This window comes from Homo sapiens, chromosome 19 (genome assembly GCF_000001405.40).
Source record: "Homo sapiens chromosome 19, GRCh38.p14 Primary Assembly".
In the NCBI taxonomy this organism is placed as follows: Eukaryota; Metazoa; Chordata; class Mammalia; order Primates; family Hominidae; genus Homo; species Homo sapiens.
The window spans coordinates 19,709,073-19,733,355 of NC_000019.10; the positions used below are offsets into that span (position 1 = coordinate 19,709,073).

The 24,283-nt window shown below is 42.0% G+C and overlaps 1 protein-coding gene across 1 annotated transcript, besides 1 other annotated feature; it reads right to left on the bottom strand.

Annotated features, from left to right (window-relative positions):
• Positions 1–1,399: 1,399 nt before the first annotated feature.
• ZNF14 (zinc finger protein 14) lies at positions 1,400–24,040 on the bottom strand. Its single transcript, NM_021030.3, has 4 exons — positions 23,884–24,040; positions 5,289–5,415; positions 5,019–5,079; positions 1,400–4,017 (listed from the first exon to the last, which is right to left on the bottom strand). Exons 1-4 carry the CDS (start codon positions 23,884–23,886, stop codon positions 2,280–2,282), a joined length of 1,929 nt encoding a protein of 642 aa, NP_066358.2. The 5' UTR covers positions 23,887–24,040; the 3' UTR covers positions 1,400–2,279.
• Positions 23,546–23,695: a silencer, noted in NCBI's record as "silent region_10457". NCBI's record gives its function as "represses an Ori minimal core promoter by ATAC-STARR-seq in GM12878 lymphoblastoid cells {active_cell/tissue: GM12878}" and the evidence as "EXISTENCE:reporter gene assay evidence [ECO:0000049][PMID:35858748]".
• Positions 24,041–24,283: the final 243 nt, after the last annotated feature.

Consider the following 24,283-nt stretch of genomic DNA (forward strand, 5'->3'; position numbering starts at 1 on the left):
AATCTTATAGCAGAACTGGAAGGTGCATCTTCAAAATGTCTGTATCTGGCTGAAAACAATCAAGTTCTTCAACAGGAATTATTATCTATGAAAACGATACAACAGAAATGTAAAGAATTTGAGAAGAATAAAAAGGTGTTGGAACAAGAAGTGAGAGGAGTTAGCTAGCTTGCCTCAGGTAAACAGCAAGGGAAGGGTTTTTGGAGAGCCCCCGACCCACTGGTTAGTGCCTTATTCCCACATATAACAAGGTCTCTGATTGGATTAAAAAATAATAATAATTAGCACAGGGAGTCATGCCTAGAGATATGCCCACAGCTGCACAGATAGAACTTTTAGCCCACTCAGATAAGGAAACTTGCACAAACCTTTAGCCCACTTAAATAAAGGAACAAGGCCCAACATAGAAATGCCTTAGTCCTTTGTATAATTAGTGGGCTTCCAGGAAATAGCCTCTACTCCTTTTATGGGCATATACCTGGTGGGCTCTGGTGGGTTCTGGTGGGCACTTCCTTTTTTTAAACATTCTTTAGCCTCTATGAATCATCACTTCAGCCTCTGATTGGTCCCAGGCCAAGGTCCTGGGCCAGGCTGAATCATGCTTTGCCAAGACAGCCTTCAGACTAGTCAGCACATTTCTTCCCCTTTCCAGTCTATAAAAATCCCAGACCCAGCCTCATAGTGGGCAACCCATTTGGGCTCCACTCTCTGCTGCACAGAGCTTTCTTTTTTTGCTTATTAAACTTTTGCTCCAATCTCACCCTTGTGTCTGCATTCCTTAATCTTCTTGGAAGTAAGACAAATAACTCCACATAGTACCTCAGAAAACAAAAAACTGCTACACTGTGGTGCATTGGCAAGCCTGTAACAGAAGTAGTAAATCTAAAAAGTCATATGGAAATGAACGTGCTATAGAATATGTAGAGAAGTTTAAATGAGAGATTGAAGAAAGAGCAAGACAAGAAAGAGAAAAATTAGAAGTCCATCTACAGAACGAATGAGATACCAGCAGCAGTGTGCACCAAGCTTCTACAGACAAAGTGCGTCAAATGTTTACTCTCCATTTTTACTACAAGGCCAGTCCAAGAGTTACCTTGTGTTGAAAATCTTAATAGTGTAGGTCTCAACAGAGGACATATTATGAGAGAAAACTTAAGGATCCCTACCTCATACCCAGAGACCTCAAATAGCAGCATGAACTACTCAACCAAGACTCAGCCAGATTGGATAGAAAAAAATAACTACAGAAGTAAAAAATGCTGTTGCTGAATTGGAAATTAGCTCTCATATGGTTTCTTCTGTAGAATCCACTGAAGAATGAGTCACATCTAAATCAATATGTCCTTTGGAAAGCATAATGAGAATATGTTCCAGTTTTAAAGAAAAATGTTATAATTTATAAGATTGTAAAATTTTATTACTGGGCTGTTTACATGATACTTTCTTTCTTATTAAATATAACCTGACAATCTTTATTAAATGAAAATATTTTTGTATCATCAACAACAACAAAAGAACTAGGATGAAGAATTTCCCACATTCTTAATATTTATAGGGTTTCTCTCCAGTATACATTCTCATGTGTGCTCAAAAGGCTGTGTGAAGGCTTTCCCAAATGTCTTACATTTATAGACTTTCACCCCACTCTGACTCCTTTCATATATTCACACTCTAGAGGACAGTTGGAAGATTTTCCCACTTTTATTTTTTCTTGAGACAGTGTCTCATTCTGTCGCACAGGCTGGAATGCAGTGGCGTGATCTCAGCTCACTGCAACCTCTGTCTCCAGGTTCAAGTGATTCTCCTGCCTTAGCCTCCTGAGTAGCTGGGATTAGAGGCATGCACTACCATGCCTGGTTCATTTTTTGGTAATTTTTAGTAGAGATGGGGTTACACCATGTTGACCACGCTGGTCTCGAATTTCTGACCTCAAATGATCTGCCTGCCTTGCACCTTGGCCTCCCAAAGTGCTGGGACTATAGGCATGAGCCAACAAGCTTGGCCTTTTTTAAAAAAACAAAAAACAAAAAACAAAACAGATTTCACTGCAGCACGAGTCCTGTCTTTGAAATGAATTAGGTCAACTGAAGGCTTAATCACAATGTTTACATTCATACTGTTTCTCACCAGTGGGAATTCTTTCGTGCTCAAAAGAAACTGGAACAATTAAGGGCTTTAGAACAATGTTTGTATTCACACAGCTTCTGTCCAGTATGAACTCTTTTGTGTATTCAGAAGGAGCTGGAACAACCGAAGGCTTCAGAATGTTGCTTATATTCTTAGACTTTCTCTCCCATATGAGTCCTTTCATGCAGTCGAAAGTGACTGGAAGAAATGAAGGCTTTTCCACATTGTTTGCATTCATAAGGTTTCTCTCCAGTGTGAGACCTTTCATGAATTCGAACAGAACTTGAAAATCTGAAGGCTTTCCCACATTGTTTACATCGATAGGGTTTCTCTCCCGTGTGAGTTCTCTCATGCATTCGAAATTTACTGGAAGAAATGAAGGCTTTTCCACATTGTTTACATTGATACGGTTTCTCTCCAGTGTGAGTCCTTTCATGCAATCGAATTTGACTGGAACGAAGGAAGGCCTTACCACATTGCTTACACTCAAAAGGCTTATTTCCAGTGTGAATTTTTTCATGTTCTCGAAGGGAACTTGAAAAACTGAAGGTTTTACCGCATAGTTTACATTCATAGGGTTTCTCTCCAGTGTGTGTTCTTTCATGCAGTCGAAAGGAACTGGAACGAATGAAAACTTTTCCACACTGTTTACATTCATAGGGTTTCTCTCCAGTGTGTGACCTTTCATGAATTCGAAAATAACTTGAACACCTGAAGGCTTTCCCACACTGTTTACATTCATAGGGTTTCTCTGCATTGTGAGTCCTTTCATGTCTTTGAAGGGAACTTGAAAAACTGAAGGTTTTACCACATTGTTTACATTCATAGGGTTTCTCTCCAGTGTGAGTTGTTTCGTGTTCTCGAAGGGAACTTGAAAAACTGAAGGTTTTATGACACTGTTTACACTCATAAGGTTTCTCTCCAGTATGAGTTCTTTCATGCAATCGAAGAGAAATGGACCAACTGAATGATTTGCCACATCGTTTACATTCATATGGTTTTTCTCCAATATGAGTTCTTTCATGCACTCGACAGGAATTAGAAGAGTTGAAGGCTTTCCCACATTCTTTACATTTATAAGGTCGAGCCCCAGTGTGTATTATTACATGTGCTCGAAAGCTTGCAGAATAAAAGAAGGCTTTTCCACATTCTTTACATTCATAGGGTTTCTCTCCACTATGAGTCCTTTTATGCCTTCGAAAAGAACTGAGAAAACTGAAGGCTTTACCACATTCTTTACATTTGTAGGGTTTTTCTCCAGTGTGAGTTCTTTCATGAGTTCGAAAGTATGTGGGACAACTGAAAGCCTTACCACATTGCTTACATTCATAGGGTTTCTCTCCAGTGTGAGTCCTTTTGTGTCTTTGAAAAGATTGGTAACATATAAAGGCTTTCCCACACTGTTTACATTCATAGGGTTTCTTTCCAGTATGAGCATGTTTTTGAAAAGACTGGTAATATATAAAGGTTTTTCCACATTGCTTACATTCATAGGGTTTCTGTCCAGCATGAGTCCTTTCATGTCTTTGAAATGGCTGGTAATATATAAAGGCTTTCCCACACTGTTTACATTCATAGGGCTTCACTCCAGTGTGAGTTCTTTCATGTTTGCGAAAGCAGTGGTGATAACTGAAGGTTTTCCCAACTGCTTTACATTTACATGGTTGCTTTTCATATTCCTGATACTCATTTGGTTTCTGTCCAGTGTGAGATCTCATGTGCCTATTAAGGGACGAATGATGAATGAAGTCTCTTCCACAAAAGCTGCATTCATGTGGTTTTGCTCCAGTAAAAGTTTCCTTGTTGATATTAACATTTGGCATCTGGCTAGTGGTTTCTCCACATTTGCTACCTCTTCTACTTTCACAGAGTCTCTCAACCATATGACATCTGTAAAAAATGAATAGCACATTATTAGTGGCTTTTTAATTATTTTGTATTTATTAGTAGGTATGAGAATTACATTTTAACCATTTTCAGAAAAAGTATAGGATATCTGCCCTGTCTGAATTGTTTTAAAGTTAATATATTCAATGCTCTGGAAGAAGACTCAACCATAGTTATGATCAAAACAGTCAATTTTTTTGTTGTTGTTGTTTAAATAAGAGATGGAGTCTCATTCTCTCACCCAGGCTGGAGTACAGTGGCATGATCACAGCTCACTGAAGCCTTGAATTCCTGGGCTCAACCAATCCTCCCATCTCAGCCTCCTGAGCAGGTGGGACTAGAGAGTGCCACCATGCCTGGCTAATTTTTTTTTTTTTTCCAAGATGGAGTCTTGCTCTGTTGCCCAGGCTGGAGTACAGTGGCACGATCTAGGCTCACTGCAGCTTCTGCCTCCTGGGTTCCAGCAATTTTCCTGCCTCAGCCTCCTGGGTAGCTGGGATTATAGGAGCACACCACCACAGCTGGCTAATTTTTGTATTTTTAGTAGAGATGGGGTTTTGCCATGTTGGCCAGGCTGGTCTTGAACTCCTGACCTCAGATGATCTGCCTGCCTTGGCCTCCCAAAGTGCTAGGATTACAGGCATGAGCCACTGTGCCAGGCCTTTTTTTTTTTTTTTCCCCAGATGAGGTCTTGCTATATTACCCAGGCTGGTCTTGAATTCCAGGCCTCAAGTGATCCTCCTACCTCAGCCTCCCAAACTGCTGGGATTACCTACATGAACTATTGTGCCTGGCCAAAATAATAATATTTATAAAAGGGGTTTCTAAATGCTATTTCGAAGTGATTTATTTTTCACATCCTGAACATCTATGATGTTTTTAAGAAAACATTTTCAGTGAAAGTTTTCTAGGAATAAATAAATTTGAAGCTGTGCTTAATTGTTTTGCTTGCTTTCTTTTGAAATTCCCCCACGGGCCACTATTTTTCTGTGGATGCAACTCACCTTCGATTTTTCCCCTGGTTTCTGTGGTCATCTTCAATGTCCTGGTCTTCCCACTTTTTTCCTAAAATGCATACCCAGAAAGACCATTAAAAATTATTAGAAATTATAGAAAATTGTTACAGTCTAGTTTCATGATTAGCTGTGACTGTCTGATTCAATCACTGAAAGATTCCCTTTCCACATTTCAAATCTTGGAACACAGCTGTTGAGCAAGAAACACTTGTTCTGTGTTCTATATTTAACTGAGGAAAGAAATGTTGATATCCTTACCTAGACAAACCAGGTTTTTGAAGGTCTCCTGCATCACATCTTCATAGAGCTTTTTCTGTGAAGAATCCAGCAAAGCCCACTCCTCCAGGGTGAAGTTCACGGCCACATCCTCAAAGGAGACTGAGTCCTGAAACATTCCACATATGTTTACAGAGGATGGGTAAGACTGGCAGTACTGGGGATCTATACTTGATTTGTAAGAAGTTCCCATACAATTCTGTGTTCTCCAAACATTTGGTGTATGACTCAGCTGTCAGAACTACGACTGTCCACACTGACTTCCTCATAAAATTCATGCTGTCATGAACACACAGAAATTACTTCTATTTTTTTCTTTTTCCTTTTTCTTTTTCTTTTTTTTTTTTTTTTGAGACAGAGTCTTGCTTTATTGCCCAGGCTGGAGTTCAGTGGTGCGATCTTGGCTCACTGCAACCTCTGCCTCTGGAGCTCAAATGATTCTCGTGCCCCAGCCTCCTAAGTAGCTGGGACTACAGGTGTGTACCATACCTATCTAATTTTTTGTATTTTTAGTAGAGACGGGGTTTCACCATGTTGGCCAGGCTGGTCTCGAACTCCTGAGCTCAGGCAATTTGCCCGCCTCGGCCTCCCAAAGTGCTAGGATTACAGGCGTGAGCCACTGTGCCTGGTCAATTACTTCTAAATTTTTACTGTGATCATGTGAAACCTTATTGTTCTCTAAAGGTGGACTCAAGCTCACACTGGAAAAGTAAGAGAAATGCTATACAAATGAAACAAATTTTAAGACCATTAATCCCTTGTGAGAAAAACTCATTTCCTACCTTATTACGTACCATATCACTCAGCATTTCATTACGCATGGAATCAATCTGGATAAGGTTTTAATAAATAAATACACCTTCAAGAACTGTAGGCTTTTCTTTTATTCCCATCAACAAACGAGAGGCCAGGAGGCCTGTGGAAAGCTAAATTGTCACAAGGAGCTGCTGGCCATGTCCTGAAGGACTCCAGGCCACTACTGCAGTGGAGTAATTAAGGAATCAGAGAGATTGAGGGGTTGAGGAGGAATTATTTAATTATTTAGGTGCACCCACCCAGTTGGATTAACATCCAAAGAACTGAGCCCCAAACAGAGTCAAGCTACCTTTTAACCATTTCGTGGGGTGGGGAGGAGATTTGTGCAGGGGGAAGTGTATTACAGAAGCGAGAAACAAAGACAGTTATTCAATTAAAACACGCATTACATTACTTCTTACTTTTCAAGGAACGACAACATGTTTTACGACTTGAGATTATCTGTTTAGTGACCTTGCAGCTGCACAGCTAGAGAAACAGTCTTCACAATGCCTGGGAAAGGGAGAGATAAGGCTCACTAGCTACAGAAAAATAGGCAGTCAATTTTTAAAGGACTTCAGATCTTTCTCTTCCTCAGGGGGAACTGGTTTTTCTTACATACAACTGAGTTTTTGCTTATACATTTTTAAAATTTCTTTTAATTCCTGTTCCACTATAAGTACTCAAATCCAGCTGGCTGAATGAAAATATTTCTTTGCAGAAGTATTAATTTCAACTTGTTTGTGTAATATTTATCACAGGCTCAGTTCTTCCTTTTTCTCTCTCTCACATTTCATGGATCTAGGAGATTACTAGGAAGTTAGAGCTCAGGCCTGAGGAGGAACGTATGGCAACTTACACCTCTACAAAATTTGTATACCAGGAGAGGGTTTATTACGCGTTTACTTGAGACTTTGGGAAGACTCGGGTAGGCTGGCTAGGGGTTTTCACTGAGGTTAGGGAGTGGGCTAGTGTGGGAGTTCAAGCATACAAGCAGGGGCTAATGTGGATTGAATGTCTCACCAGCACCAAATGAGGGTGACCCAGGCTTTCTTCCTACCACATCTGGATGTAGGGTACATAGTAGAAAAGGAGGAATGAGATTTTATTTTATTTATTTTATTTCATTTGTTTTGAGACCGAGTTTCGCTGTTGCCCAGGTTGGAGTGCTGTAGCGTGATCTCGGCTCACTGCAACCTTCGCCTCCCAGGTTCAAGCGATTCTTGTGCCTCAGCCTCCTGAATAGCTGGGATTACAGATGTGCACCACCACACCCGTCTAATTTTTGTGTTTTTAGTAGAGACAGGGTTTTGCCATGTTGGCCAGGCTGGGCTTGAACTCCTGGGCTCAAGCGATCTGCCTGCCTCCGCCTCCCAAAGTGCTGGGATTATAGGTGTGAGTCCCCATGCCTGGCAATAATGAGATTTTAAAGCTATCATCCATCAAACATCACAAAAAAATGAAGTCAGAGACTTCCAATTTCTGGTCTCACAAGTAAGGAACGTAGAAATTGTCAATCCCAGCCGTGCAAGTAAAAAATAAACATCAAATCAATTACCCTTCTTGGATCCATTAAAGAATTGAGGGTCATAAGGCAAAGTTTTCTCTCTAAAATTTGAGAGATGAATAGGAAAAGTAACAGTTTTGTAATATTCCCAGAACATAATGTTCTTCTTAAGAAGACCTGTTCTCAAAAAATTCCATTTCAACAAAAGCCCAACCTACTATGATTTTACCAAAGCCTATGTGACCTGGGGGCAGGGACACAGAAGCATGTGTGAAGGTGAACCGTTTTTTGTCTTCCCAACACCAATACAAGGTGTCTTTTCCAACGCCATTCTCCAAATCTCTGACATCGACTGTGCCCTAAAATTTAATTCAATTCTAAGTACCCAGAATTAGTCAGACTCCACAGGTTAAGGACTCAGTCCCACAAGACTGCCCCCATGTCAGATGCAAGCCACACGGTAGGGTGCCCAGGCCACCCATGCTTCTACACGCCAACTACAAATCTGGAGTTCCCACACCACCCTTTATAGTTCAGTAATTCACTAGGGCCTCCCTCAGAAGTCAGGAGAGTGATATACTTAGCATCACCGGTTTAATTACAAAACATACAACTCAGGAACAGCCAAGTGGAAGAGGCCCATTGGTCGGTATGCAGAGCAGGTGGGATGTTTCCATGCATTCCCTGGGTGTGCCATCCTCACAGCACCTCAATATGTTCACCAACATGGAAGTTCTCAGAACCCCAATATTTATGAAGGTCCCAACACACAGATATGATTGATTAAATCATTACACACTAATGATTAATTCAATCTCCAGCTCCTCTTTTCTCTTGTGAGGCTGGGGGCTAGGGCTGAAAGTTCAAGGGCAGGTCTTTCTGGTCACCAATCCTAATCCTAAAGTCATCTAGGATCTCCTAAGAGTGCTGCTTTGCAAACAAGGAGGATCCTTTCACCCTTCTCACTTGTGAAATTCAAGGGATTTAGGAGCTCTGTGCTAGGAATCACACACAAAGACTAAGTATCTTTCTTATCATATCACAAAACATCACAGCTCGGGCACAGGCTCACTAAAAGACTGAGATCAAATCATAGGACTATAACATGTTTCCCTTCCACCTACACCTTACCACTATTGTCATTAGGGTTTCTGTTTAAAAACAGGTGACTGCAATGAAAGAATATTGCACTGTTTCTTTCTGCATGTTTCAGACTTTATTTAACAAGTGTCTAGAGAAGCCCAAAGATGACAGGAGAGAGAAAAGCAAGGACATCAAAGGAAATTTTAACCTCTGACATCTACGGCTACTGAAAACAGTAAACAGAGACAAAACCCAGTAGGATAAACCTAAAACCTCACACTCAAGGCCTATTTACCTCAGTTTCTTTTTCCCAGTACATCTTGTCGAGTTTTCAACAAAAATTATACGAAATACAAAAAGGTTTTAAGAACAGAATTAGAAGACAGAGGTCAAGCACCAGAACCAGATTAGGTATAGAAGAGATGTTGGAATTGTCAGATCAGAAATTTAAACCAAATATGATTAATATACTAAGGGTTCTCATGGAAATGTTGAACAATATGAAAGAAAAAATAGACAATTTAAGCATATATATAGAAATTCTAACAAAGAATCAAAAGGTAACGAAGGACATAAAATACACTGCAACAGAAATGAAGAACAGCCTTACAGGTTCATCAATACAGTGGAAATGTCTGAAGAGATGATGAGTGATCTTGAAGAACTGTCAGTATAACCCGTCAAACTGAAAAGGAGAAACAAGACATCAGAAGATCCAAAAACTGTCAGAAAATTACAAAAAGTGGAACATACACATAATAGTACTAACTAAAGACAAGAAAGAAACAGAAGAAATAACTGAAGCAATAATGACTGATAATTTCCCAAAATTAATGTTATACATGAAAGGAAATATCCAGGAATGCCAAGCAACATAAATACCCCCAAATCCACACCTGGGTGTATCATATTCAAGGAGAAAATTAAAAGACAAAGAAAAACTTTGAAAGAAGTTACAGGGGGAACAAACAACATCTTTGTTATAAAAACATAAAAGAATTAAGTCAGACTCTTTTTTTTGAGACATTGTCACACTCTGTTGCCCAGGCTGGAGTGCAGTGGGACGATCCTGGCCCACTGCAACCTCCACTTCCTGGGTTCAAGCAATTCTCCTGCCTCAGCCTCCGAGTAGCTGAGATTACAGGTACGCACCACCATGTCCAGCTAATTTTTTGTATTTTCAGTAGAGATGGGGTTTTGCCATGTTGGCCAGGTGGGTGTCAAACTCCTGGCCCCAAGTGATCTGCCCACCTCGACCTCCCAAAGGGCTGGGATTACAGACGTGAGCCACCAGGACCAGCCCAAGACTCTTTACAGAAAGTGAAAGCAAGAAGAGACTGGAGTGAAATGTTTAAAACATTATAAGACAAAACCCCCAACCACATAGAATTCTGTATAGAGCAAGAATATCCCTCAAAATGGAAGAGAAATGAAAGCTTTATGAGATAAGAAAAGATAATCTGTCACTAGCGTACCTGCCTTGAAAGAACTGTTAAAAAATTCCCTACAAAAAAGAAAAACGATAAAGAAGGGTATTAGAGAAAAAATAAATACAAGTAAAATACAATCTCTTTTTTGTAATCTGACAGATGAGTTTGTCCAAAACACTAACAGGAACAATATATTTGGTAAGTCCAGCTTATGGATAAATGATACGTATGGTAGCAATGTTACAAAGGACAGGAAAGGAGGAATTGGGAATACTTTTTCATGAGGTACTTGCACAACCAGTGAGGTAGTACAGTGTTCTTTACAAGAGGACTTGGGTTACTTGTAAGCATGTACTACAAACTCAAAGGCAATGAGTAAAACTTAAAAAACAACAAAAAACTATAATTGATGTGCTAAGTGGGGAGAAAAATGGCATCAAGTAAAATGCTTAATGAAAGCAGATAAGGTAGAAAAAGAATAGAAGATGGGAAAGGAAGAACAACAACAAATAGAAAAACATAAAAAGAAAAAGGGAGACATTAATACAACTAAATCAATAACATGTTAAACATCAATGGTCTAAATACAACAAATGGTGGACAGATACTGTCAATAATGGATCAAATATACGGTGTTGAAAAGAAACACATTTTAAATATACAGTTATAGATACATTAAAAATAAAGGAATGAAGAAAGATATGCCATGCTAACACTAAGAAAAAGAAAAGTAACACAGCTATGTTCATTTCAGACAAAGCTGACTTCACATCCTGGAAATCTCAGTGACACAGGGGCATTATGTAATAACAAAGTGATCAATTCACCAAGAAGACAAGGCAATCCTTAGTGTGTATGTGCATAAAAACAGAGTGGCAAAATAATGAGGCAAAACTGATGGAACGGCAGGGAGAACTGCATGGAGCCATGAAGTATAGCTGGAGACTTCAATACCTGTCTATCAGCAATAGCAGATCCAGCAGGCAGAAAATGAGGAAGGACATTGTTGAACTGAACAGTACCATCAAACAACTGGACTGAACGGAAAATCAAAACACTTAGACCAGCAATAGCAGGATATACATTCTTCTCAAGTTCACATGGAACATTCACCAAGGTAGCCCACATTCTGGAACATAAAACATATCTTTTTTTTTTTTTTTTGAGATGGAGTCTCGCTCTTGTTGCCCAGGCTGGAGTGCAATGACACAACCTCGGGTCACTGCAACCTCTGCTTCCTGGGTTCAAGTAATTCTCCTGCCTCAGCTTTCCGAGTAACTTAAATAACAGGCGCCTGCCACCATGCCTGGCTAATTTTTTTGTATTTTTAGTAGAGACGGGGTTTCGCCATGTTGGCCAGGCTGGTCTCAAGGTCCTGACCTCAAGTGATCTGTCCGCCTCGGCCTCCCAAAGTGCTGGGATTACAGGCATGAGCCACCATGCCCTGCCAGGAAATTGGGCAGCTCAATTTTCTAAGAGCTCCTAAAATAATTGGAAGCCCCTAAAATTAAAAATAATCAGGGAACTCATTTTACATCAAGGACTACACAAGTGACATCAGATCAATGAGATACACAATGGAATTTCCACCTACCCTATAATCCCACAGCAGCAAGATGTATATAGAAATTAACCAGGCTACTAAAAAGAGAATTGAAAACCCTAGACAAAGTGAGCACATCCCAAGAAGCTCTTAACCCGGCATGTTTTAATTTAAATAAAAGAGAAAGCATTCATAAGAACAACCTCCTACTCTTACTTTATTTATTTATTGATTTTTTTGAGACAGAGTCTTGCTCTGTCACTCAGGTTGGAGCGCAGTGGCGCGATCTTGGCTCACTGCAACCTCCACCTCCCGGGTTCAAGTGATCCTCCTGCCTCAGTCTCTCAAGTAGCTAGGACTATAGGCACGCACCACCATGCCCGGCTAATTTTTGTATTTTTAGTAGAGACGGGGTTTCACCATGTTAGTCAGGCTGGTCTTGAACTCCTGACCTCATGATCTGCCCGCCTTGGCCTCCCAAAGTGCTAGGATTACAGGCATGAGCCACCACCCCCGGCCCTTCCTACTCTTACTTTAATCAACCAACCTTAATAGTCACAAAGGATAAGGAAGACAATGATACAAAGATTATACCTTACAAGGGGAGCATTTGACTAAATGCCAACTCTATCTCCCAGCAGGACATCTTGGCCCATGGATATGAAAATACTTATTGACTACAGGTAAAAGAGGAGACTTAGAATTATGCAAAATCTCCAACTTTTCTCCAAATTCTCACTAGACCTAGATTTGTTACACCTTTTACAACAGTGGCACTACACTGTTTTCTTCAAGTCACTGATTGCATCAATATTTCCATAAGAATAATTGAAGGTATACTTCAATCCAGTTTTACTTGCCACTCACCTCGTATTTTTAACTTCAACATCACCTGTAGCCATCACTGGAATAACTCGTTTACTTGCTTAAGAACAACAACCTGGGCTTGGTGTGGTGGCTCATGCCTGTAATCCTAGCACTTTGGGAGGCCGAGGTGGGTGGATCACCTGAGGTCAGGAGTTCAAGACCAGCCTGATCAACATGGTGAAACCCTGTCTCTACTAAAAAATACAAAAATTAGCCAGGTATGGTGGCAGCCACCTGTAATCCCACCTACTAGGGAGGTAGAGGCAGGAGAATTGCTTGAACCCAGGAGGCAGAGTATGCAGTGAGCCAACATTGCGCCATTGCACTCCAGCCTGGGTGACAGAGCAAGACTCAGTCTCAAAAAAAAAAAAAAAAAAGAACAACCTGGCTACAAATTTGTGTAGCTTCTCAGTTGGTCTTACCGCCTTTCTCATTCACCTCTGCTAGTCATCAGAGTGACTTTACTGTCTTGTTATTACTTAAATTCCAACCACATAAACCAGGGTAACACAAGCATACACACCACTGCAGACAAATGACAAATTACACCATCTGCTTGCCAAGCACAGTATCTGATTAATAATTTGCAGACTGACAGCAACAGTGCACTCCCAGCATGGAGACTTAGTTTCTCCAAGATCACCTTTAGCCTTTCTAAGATCTCCTATGTCTCACCTTATTCTACATATGGCTAGCCAGTTTTCCCAACACCATTTATTAAACAGGGAATCCTTTCCCCATTTCTTGTTTTTGTCAGGTTTGTCAAAGATCAGGGTCGTAGATGTGTGGTATTATTTCTGAGTGCTCCGTTCTGTTCCACTGGTCTGTATCTCTGTTTTGGTACCAGTACCATGCTGTTTTGGTTGCTGTAGCCTTGTAGTATAGTTTGAAGTCAGGTAGCGTGATGCCTCCAGCTTTGTTCTTTTGGCTTAGGATTGTCTTTGCTATATGGGCTCTTTTTTGGTTCCATATGAACTTTAAAGTAGTTTTTTCCAATTCTGTGAAGAAAGTCATTGGTAGCTTGATGGGGATGGCATTGAATCTATAAATTACCTTCGGCAGTATGGCCATTTTCACTATATTGATTCTTCCTATCCATGAGCATGGAATGTTCTTCCATTTGTTTGTGTCCCCTTTTATTTCATTGAGCAGTGGTTTGTAGTTCTCCTTGAATAGTTCTCCTTGAAGAGGTCCTTCACATCCCTTGTAAGTTGGATTCCTAGGTATTTTATTCTCTTTGTAGCAATTGTGAATGGGAGTTCACTCATGATTTGGCTCTCTTTTGCCTGATATTGGTATATAGGAATGCTTGTGATTTTTGCACATTGATTTTGTATCCTGAGACTTTGCTGAAGTTGCTTATCAGCTTAAGGAGATTTTGGGCTGAGACGATGGGTTTTCTAAACATAAAATCTGCAAACAGGGACAATTTGACTTCCTCTTTTCCTAATTGAATACCCTTTATTTCTTTCTCCTGCCTGATTGCCCTGGCCAGAACTTCCAACACTATATTGAATAGGAGTGGTGAGAGAGGGCATCCCTGTCTTGTGCCAGTTTTCAAAGGGAATGCTTCCAGTTTATGCCCATTCAGTATGATATTGGCTGTGGGTTTGTCATAGATAGCTCTTATTATTTTGAGATACATCCAATCAATACCTAGTTTATTGGGAGTTTTTAGCATGAAGGAAGGGCTGTTGAATTTTGTTGAAGGCCTTTTCTGCATCTATTGAGATAATCATGTGGTTTTTGTCTTTGGTTCTGTTTATATGATGGATTACATTTATTGATTTGTGTATGTTGAACCAGCCTTGCATCCCAGGGATGAAGCCAACTTGATCATGGTGGATAAGCTTTTTGATGTGCTGCTGGATTCAGTTTGCCAGTATTTTATTTAGGATTTTTGATTCAATATTCGTCAGGGATATTGGTCTAAAATTCTCTTTTTTTTGTTGTGTTTCTGCCAGGCTTTGGTATCAGGATGATGCTGGCCTCATAAAATGAGTTAGGGAGGATTCCCTCTTTTTCTATTAATTGGAATAGTTTCAGAAGGAATGGTACCAGCTACTCTTTGTACCTCTGGTAGAATCTGGCTGTGAATCCATCTGGTCCTGGGCTTTTTTTGGTTGGTACGCTACTAACTGTTGCTTCAATTTCAGAGCCTGTTATTGGTCTATTCAGGGATTCAACTTCTTCCTGGTTTAGTCTTGGGAGGGTGTATGTCCAGGAATTTATCCATTTCTTCTAGATTTTCTAGTTTATTTGCGTAGAGGTGTTTATACTATTCTCTGATGGTAGTTTGTATTTCTGTGGGATCAGTGGTGATATCCCCTTTATCATTTTTTATTGCATCTATTTGATTCTTCTCTCTTTTATTCTTTATTAGTCTTGCTAGCAGTCTATCAATTTTGTTGATCTTTTTGAAAAACCAGCTCCTGGATTCATTGATTTTTTGAAGAGTTTTTTGTGTCTCTATCTCCTTCAGTTCTGCTCTGATCTTAGTTATTTCTTGCTTTCTGCTAGCTTTTGAATGTGTTTGCTCTTGCTTCTCTAGTTCTTTTAATTGTGATGTTAGGGTGTCAATTTTAGATCTTTCCTGCTTTCTCTTGTGGGCATTTCGTGCTATAAATTTCCCTCTACACGCTGCTTTAAATGTGTCCCAGAGATTCTGGTATGTTTTGTCTTTGTTCTCACTGGTTTCAAAGAACATGTTTATTTCTGCCTTCATTTCGTTATGCACCCAATAGTCATTCAGGAGCAGGTTGTTCAGTTTCGATGCAGTTGAGTGGTTTTGAGTTAGTTTCTTAATCCTGAGTTCTAGTTTGATTGCACTGTGGTCTGAGAGACAGTTTGTTATAATTTCTGTTCTTTTACATTTGCTGAGGAGTGCTTTACTTCCAACTATGTGGTCAATTTTGGAATAAGTGCGATGTGATGCTGAGAAGAATGTACATTCTGTTGATTTGGGGTGGAGAGTTCTGTAGATGTCTATTAGGTCTGCTTGGTGCAGAGCTGAGTTCAATTCCTAGATATCTTGTTAACTTTCTGTCTTGTTGATCTGTCTAATGTTGACAGTGGGGTGTTAAAGTCTCCCATTATTATTGTGTGGGAGTCTAAGTCTCTTTGTAGGTCTCTAAGGGCTTGCTTTATGAATCTGGGTGCTCCTGTATTGGGTGCATATATATTTAGGATAGTTAGCTCTTCTTGTTGAATTGATCCCTTTACCATTATGTAATGGCCTTCTTTGTCTCTTTTGATCTTTGTTGGTTTAAAGTCTGTTTTATCAGAGACTAGGATTGCAACCCCTACTTTTGTTTGTTTTCCATTTGGTTGGTAGATCTTCCTTTGTCCCTTTATCTTGAGCCTATGTGTGTCTCTGCACGTGAGATGGGTCTCCTGAATACAGCACACTGATGGGTGTTGACTCTTTATCCAATTTGCCAGTCTGTGTCTTTTAATTGGAGCATTTACCCCACTTACATTTAAGGTTAATATTATGTGTGAATTTGATCCTGTCATTATGATGTTAGCTAGTTATTTTGCTTGTTAGTTGATGCAGTTTCTTCCTAGCATCAACGGTCTTTACAATTTGGCATGTTTTTGCAGTGGCTGGTACCAGTTGTTCCCTTCCATGTTTAGTGCTTCCCTCAGGAGCTCTTTTAGGGCAGGCCTGGTGGTGACAAAATCTCTCAGCATTTGTTTGTCTGTAAAGGATTTTATTTCTCCTTCACTTATGAAGCTTAGTTTGGCTGGATATGAAATTCTGGGTTGAAAATTCTTTTCTTTAAGAATGTTGAATATTGGCCCCCACTCTCTTCTGGCTTGTAGTTTCTGCCGAGAGATTTGCTGTTAGTCTGATGGGCTTCCCTCTGTGGGGAACAAGACCTTTCTCTCTGGCTGCCCTTAACATTTTTCCCTTCATTTCAACTTTGGTGAATCTGACAATTATGTATCTTGGAGTTGCTCTTCTCGAGGAGTATCTTTGTGGCATTCTCTGTATTTCCTGAATTTGAATGTTGGCCTGCCTTGCTAGGTTGGGGAAGTTCTCCTGGATAATATCCTGAAGAGTGTTTTCCAACTTGGTTCCATTCTCCCCGTCACTTTCAGGTATACCAATCAGATGTAGATTTGTATTTTCACATAGTCCCAAATTTCTTGGAGGCTTTGTTAATTTCTTTTTACTCTTTTTTTCTCTAAAGTTCTCTTCTCACTTCATTTCATTCATTTGATCTTCAATCACTGATACCCTTTCTCCCACTTGATGAAATCAGCTACTGAAGCTTGTGCATGCATCAAGTAGTTCTCGTGCCACGGTTTTCAGCTCCATCAGGTCATTTAAGGTCTTCTCCACACTGTTTATTCTAGTTAGCCATTCGTCTAATCTTTTTTCAAGGTTTTTAGCTTCTTTGCGATGGGTCTGAACATCCTCCTTTAGCTCAGAGAAGTTTGTTATTACCAGTCATCTGAAGCCTTCTTCTCTCAACTCATCAAAGTAATTCTCTCCGTCCAGCTTTGTTCCATTGCTGGCAAAGAGCTGCATTCCTTTGGAGGAGAAGAGGTGCTCTGATTTTTAGAATTTTCAGCTTTTCTGCTCTGGTTTCTTCCCATCTTTGTGGTTTTATCTACCTCTGGTCTTTGATGATGGTGACGTACAAATGGGGTTTTGGTGTGGATGTCCTTTCTGTTTGTTAGTTTTCCTCCTAACAGTCAGGACCCTCAGCTGCAGGTTGGTTGGAGTTTGCTGGAGGTCCACTCCAGACCATTTGCCTGGATATCACCAGCGGAGGCTGCAGAACAGCAAATATTGCAGAACGGCAAATGTTGCTGCCTGATCCTTCCTCTTGAAGCTTCGTCTCAGAGGGGCACCCGGCTGTATGAGGTGTCAGTTGGCCCCTATTGGGAGGTGTCTCCCAGTTAGGCTACTCAGGGGTCAGGGACCCATTTGAGGAGGCAGTCTGTCCGTTCTCAGATCTCAAAATCCATGCTGGGAGAACCACTACTCTCTTCAAAGCTGTCAGACAGGGACATTTAAGTCTGCAGAAGTTTCTGCTGCCTTTTGTTCAGCTATGCCCTGCCCCCAGAGGTGGAGTCTACAGAGGCAGGCAGGCCTCCTTGAGCTGTGGTGAGCTCCACCCAGTTCGAGCTTCCCAGCCGCTTTGTTTACCTACTCAAGCCTCAGCAATGACGGACGCCCCTTCCCCAGCCTTGCTGCCGACTTGCAGTTTGATCTCAGACTGCTGTGCTAGCAGTGAAAGAGGCTCCGTGGGTGTGGGACCCTCCGAGCCAGGCATGGGATATAATCTCCTGGTGTGTCATTTGCTAAGACTGTTGGAAAAGTGCAGTATTAGGGTGGAAGTGTCCCGATTTTCCAGATACCATCTTTCACGGCTTCCCTTGACTAGGAAAGGGAATTCCCCGACCCCTTGCACTTCCCAAGTGAGGCAATGCCCCGCCCTGCTCCATGGGCTGCACCCACTGTCTGCCAAGCCCCAGTGAGATGAACCTGGTACCTCAGTTGGAAATGCAGAAATCACCCATCTTCTGCATTGCTCATGCAGGGAGCTGTAGACTGGAGCTGTTCCTATTTGGCCATCTTGGAGCCTCAAGGCCGAGTACTGTTATATCTTAGTTGTTACAGTGTTATGTTTAATCAGATACATATTACATATCCAATAATTAATATAAAACATAGGATTGACACAAATAGACTAAAATAGTTAATTTTTTTCTTTTTTTGTAGTGATGGGGTCTCCCTATGTTGCTGGTCTCAAGTCATCCTCCCGCCTTGACCTTCCGAAGTGCTGGGATTATAGGTGTGAGGCAATGCACGCAGCCTAAAATATTTTAGAATATAAAAGGGATATAACAGATACAACAACTACTACTACTACTACTTCTGTTCCTACCACTCCTACTAAAGCCACCGTAAAAATTCCTGAGCCTCGAATACATAGATATCCAACAATGCCAACTCATACCTAAAATCACACGATTACCAGAACACACTCCACATGTACTTGATGAAAATATATTCTTTTTTGAACAACTGCCAGAAAAATCAAGGGACTAATAATATGTAGTCTCAGACCATTTGAAATGAATGCCTAAAGAGTTTCTACACACACATCCAATCAATGCATCTTTATAGACGCTTGGCATGTATTCCCAAACACCCCTTAGAAGACCACATAAATGCGACTCAACCAATGTATGTAGCTATAATCAAGCATTCAATAACATCTCAAACCAATGGACAGCACACATAATAATAGAAAAATGCTACCAGAAACAGACATGCCAATCCAAACAGATCATTACCCAGCCTGGCCATCATGGTGAAACTCCGTCTCTACTAAAAATACAAAAATTAGCTGGCATGGTGGCTCATGCCTATAATCCCAGCCACTCGGGAGGCTGAGGCAGGAGAATCGCTTGAACCTGGGATGTGGAGGTTGCAGTGAGCCAAGATCGCACCATTGCACTCCAGCCTGGGCAACACAGTGAGACTCTTGTCTCAAACAAAACAAAACAAAACAAACAAAAAAACACAACAACAAAACAAAACAGATCATTAGATAAAAGCAATCTGTCAGACCAAACACCAATCCCAGTACCACAGTCAAACCATATACTGGGGCCAGGTGCAGAGGCTCATGCCTGTAATCCCAGCACTTTGAGAGGCCGTGGTGGGTGGATCACAAGGTCAGGAGTTCAAGACCAGCCTGGCCAACATGGTGAAATCCCGACTCTAATAAAAATACAAAAAGTAGCCAGGCATGGTGGCAGGCACCTGTAATCCCAGCTACTCAGGAGGCTGAGGCAGGAGAATCACTTGAAACTGGAAGGCAGAGGTTGCAGTGAGCCAAGATCGAGCCACTGCACTCCAGACTGTGCGAAAGTGCGAAACTCCGTCTCAAAAAAAAAAAAAAAAAAAAACATATACTGGAAGAACTAACATGACAAGCTTAAATATGATATATACTCCTATGAGTCATTTGTTGATACTTGATGTGAATTCTGGTACCAATCTGAACTCGAAGGAAGTAAAGATTATGATTACAAAGCAGATCTAAAAGATGGTACAACACCAGACACAGCTATCACACCAATCATTCATATTACATATACCCAACTTTCAGACCTCCACGGGAAAAAATACCAATGCCACTGGGATACCCATTGGACTGTGATATATAATAGAAGAGGATAAGACATACTATAATGATTCTCTAACTTTCCACTTTTGAGAAATTTTGCCTTCCAACCTTGTTATAATTATGCCAAAAGTCAAACTTATTTGACAGAACCACAATTCTTTGACAGAACTAAAAAAATCCTCATAGTAGAATTAGATTGGAAACAAAGATTACACCCAGTAATCTTTTCCCCCCGACAAGACGGAGTCTTGCTCTGTTGCCCAGGCTGGAGTACAGTGGCGTGATCTCAGCTCGCCGCAACCTCCGCCTCCCAGGTTCAAGCGATTCTCCTGCCTCAGCCTCCCAAGTAGCTGGGATTAAAGGCACCCACCACCACACCCAGCTAATTTTTGTATTTTTTAGTAGAGACAGTGTTTTACCATGTTGGCCAGGCTGGTCTGGAACTCCTAACCTCGTGATCCACCCACCTTGGCCTCCCAAAGTGCTGGGATTACAGGTGTGAGCCATTGTGCCTGGCCCACCCAATAATCTTAACTGATCCTCATCACTTTACACACACAACTTTTTTTTTTTTTTTTGAGGCAGTCTTCCTCTGTCATCCAGGCTGGAGTGCAATGGCGCAATCTCAGCTCGCTGCAACCTCAGCCTCCTGGGTTCAAGCAATTCTCCTGCCTCAGCCTCCCGAGTAGCTGGAATTATAGGCGCCAGCCCCCACATCCAGCTAATTTTTTGTATTTTCAGGAGAGACAAAGTTTCACCACGTTGGCCAGGCTGGTCTCGAACTCCTGACTCAGGTGATTCACTCATCTCGGTTTCTCAAAGTGCTGGGATTACAGGCATGAGCCACCACACCTGGGCCTACACACACGACTTCTGAAACACATGCTAAAACAACAGAAGATTATGTAGACAGAGTTGTCCTAAATATACTTGTTTTCAAGGGTACCAATTAAACACCACAACTGAGAAACTTATAAAAAAAAATGTACAGAATCACCCAATGAGACACATATTTTAAGGGATGACCAACATTAATATGCTTCCACCTTAACATATATTAGAGCTGTATTTCATCATCCTACAGGTGAAAAACCTTACCCTCACCCATTTTTCAATATAATTTACTAAAATGGCTACATATACCTAGACCGATAAGCTTTACAAATCAAACTGAATGAACAGACACAGCACCATTCAGAATGTGACATAATTCAACACATACTAAATTCACATTCGTGGCAAGCTTGGCTACAATATATGCAAACTACCTTTATTTATTTAGTTAGTTTTTTTTGAGACAGAGTCTCAAGGCTGGAGTGCAGTGGCATTAGCTCACTGCAACCTCTGCCTCCTGGGTTCAAGCAATTCTAATTCTCCTGCCTCAACCTCCTGAGTAGCTGAGATTACAGGTGTGTGCCACCAGGCTCGGCTAATTTTTTTTTGTATTTTTAGTAGAGATGGATTTCACTATGTTGGTCAGGGTGGTCTTGAACTCCTTACCTCAGGTGATCCGCCCGCCTCGGCCTCCCAAAGTGCTGGGATTACAGGCGTGACCCACCGTGCCCAGCCCGCAGTTTTATTTAAGGGCAGGGTTTGATTTTAAACACAAACTTAACTCCCACATGTCAACTACCACTTTCATACTCTCCTCTATCTCACAGACAATGAAATACAATCAATGATGACTCATATAAATGACCTCACAGAATATCAAAAGGTGTTTAATTACAGTATCAATTACAAGGTAGGCATCTTAAAAACCAATCTATTTACATTAATAAACTTGACGGTGAAAGACTGACTGCAAACCCAATGTACTAAGCGAAGTACTTATACTAACTCAGACTTGGAATAACATAAGAAATCCAATACAGGCCGGGCGCAGTGGCTCATGCCTGTAATCCCAGCACTTTGGGAAGCTGAGGCGGGCGGATCACCTGAGGTTGGGAGTTCGAGACCAGCTTGATTAACATGGAGAAACCCTGTCTCTACTAAAAATACAAAATTAGCTGGGCGTGGTGGCGCATGCCTGTAATCCCAGCTACTAGGGAGGCTGAGGAAGGAGAATCGCTTGAACCTGGAAGGCGGAGGTTGCGGTGAGCCGAGATCACCCCATTGCACTCCAGCCTGGGCAACAAGAGTGAAACTCCATCTCAAAAGAAGAAAGAAAATATAAAAAAAGAAACCCAATACAATCAGGAAAATTATTTACAAAACACTGGCATAAAGCAGCTGTAGTTCAACTGGATACATCCAAACCATCAGGATGTGAAGATTCAAGGTCACGTATATTAAGCCTACTTGAATTAAGATGAGGAGACTCACAACTAGCTTTTGACCCAAGTACACAGACAGATAAAAGATATAATCTACAAATAACCACCTTAGAAAAACCATTATTTATTGATTATTTTATACAAAAATAATTAGTATTCCAATTCTGAAAAACTATATACTACACCTTTCAGGATAGGGTACCCAAACTAGATATGGTACCCAAACTGACATATCAGCATCAAAAGAATACCCACAATCAGCCAGGCGCGGTGGCTCATGCCTGTAATCCCAGCACTTTGGGAGGTTGAGGCAGGCAGACCACCTGAGGTCAGGAGTTCAAGACCAGCCTGGCCAACATGGTGAAACCCCATCTCTGCTAAAAAATAAAAGAATTAGCCGGGTGTGGTGGTGGGTGCCTGTAATCCCAGCTATGCAGGAGGCTGAAGCAGGAGAACTGCTTGAACCAGGGAGGCAGAGGTTGCAGTGAGCTGTGATCATGCCGTTGCACTCCAGCCTGGGCGACAGAGTGAGATTCCATCTCAAAAAAAAGAAAAAAAACAACAACAAAACTACCCACAATGACTCTAGACTTAGGAACCTTCCACTGGTTAATTGCTCAGAGAAAAACACACTGACCTATTACAACCACACGAGGAAAGAAAAAATCACAACATACACTTACAATCAGAATGTATCAAAGTGGTGTGTGTCATAAACATCACTCTCACAAACACCTCAAAGCTTACCACTTAGCCGGGCGCGGTGGCTCACGCCTGTAATCCCAGCACTTTGGGAGGCCAAGGCGGGCAGATCACAAGGTCAGGAGATCGAGACCATCCTGGCTAACACGGTGAAACCCCGTCTCTACTAAAAATACAAAAAAATTAGCTGGGCGTGGTGGCGGGCGCCTGTAGTCCCAGCTACTGGGAAGGCTGAGGCAGAATGGCTTGAACCTGGGAGGCGGAGCTTGCAGTGAGCTGGAGATCGCGCCACTGCACTCCATCCCGGGCGACAGAGCGAGACTCCGTCACACACAAAAAAAAATGCTTACCACTTATATACGGAACAAATGACATACAGAGATTTTGCATCATCATGGCACTCCAACATAGGCGAAATCTCTTGGGTAGAAACCACACAGATAAACACACACAAACAAGAAAATTTAAAAGAACCTGAACAAGCTCACAATTAATTCCATCCAGAAACCAAAGAAACTAAAAATCGCACACATTCACGCAAGGGAACAAAATTACCCAGAGCGAAGGGAAACTGGAATTAAGGGTGGCTAGAATTAATATTTGATCAAGGAGTCCAAAGGGAAGAAACACAAACTTTCTGATCAGTTAAGATAAGGAGTCCCCTTCCCCGCAGTTCGAAAAGAAAGCCCACATTCAGAAGGTCAAAAACACCCCCAGACTTGAGTGCTGGGAGCACTAGAGGGGGTCAGTCCCTGGTGATGAGGGCAGGGGCGTTTGAACAGCCACAGGAACCTGACCCCGGCAGCAAGGACCTAGCCAGGCTTCGGTTCTCACAAGTGAGGAAACGCACCCGTGGATTCATCGTAAGGTTTCCAACCAAGTGGTTTCTTAAACGCACAAACCCCACAGACCGAGATGGGATCTCCCCAGGACCCTCCCGCTGTCACCGAACAATCCGGGGAGACGCGGGGCTGCGGGCGCAGAGCTGCCCATAGAGGGCTCCAGGACCGGGGGCCGAGGTCGCCCCGCGGGGACGGGACAGGACGCTGGGGCTCCCGGCTGCGGGTCCAGCTCCCACAGAGAGGACCGAGGGCCGAACTGCGCCCGCGGTGGCCCCCGGGTCTGCAAACCCCGGAGTTGACTGCAAGGAGGTCCCCGGCCTCGGCCACAGACGGTTCCAACCAGAAACCTCCCCTCGGACACTGGCCCCGCACACTCACCATTTCCCAGCGTCCGGGAAGTCACGGTGTCCTCCCTACGGATCTGTCAGTACCTGCAGGTCACGGCGCGACAAAGGATGCGCTAGAGCCACCTTCGGCCTTCAGGAGCAGGTGAAACGCAATCTTCCCATGGGCCAGGAATGGCGACGTCCGCACTGCGCAGGCCCAGCGTGGCGCCGCTCACATCTTTTCAGCTGAGGTCCTGATTGGACAGATCCAATGGCCCCGCCTCTTTATCACTGAGTGACAGCGGAGCAGGAAGGGGCGTGGTTGAGCTGGCCTGGCTTCAGTCCGGCTTGTCCCCGCCAGGACGTTTGCGTTTAAACCGAATGTGTTCTTTGCCTCCCATCCATTTTAAGTGTTCTCTTCAGTACTGTTAAATACATTCACATTGTGAAGC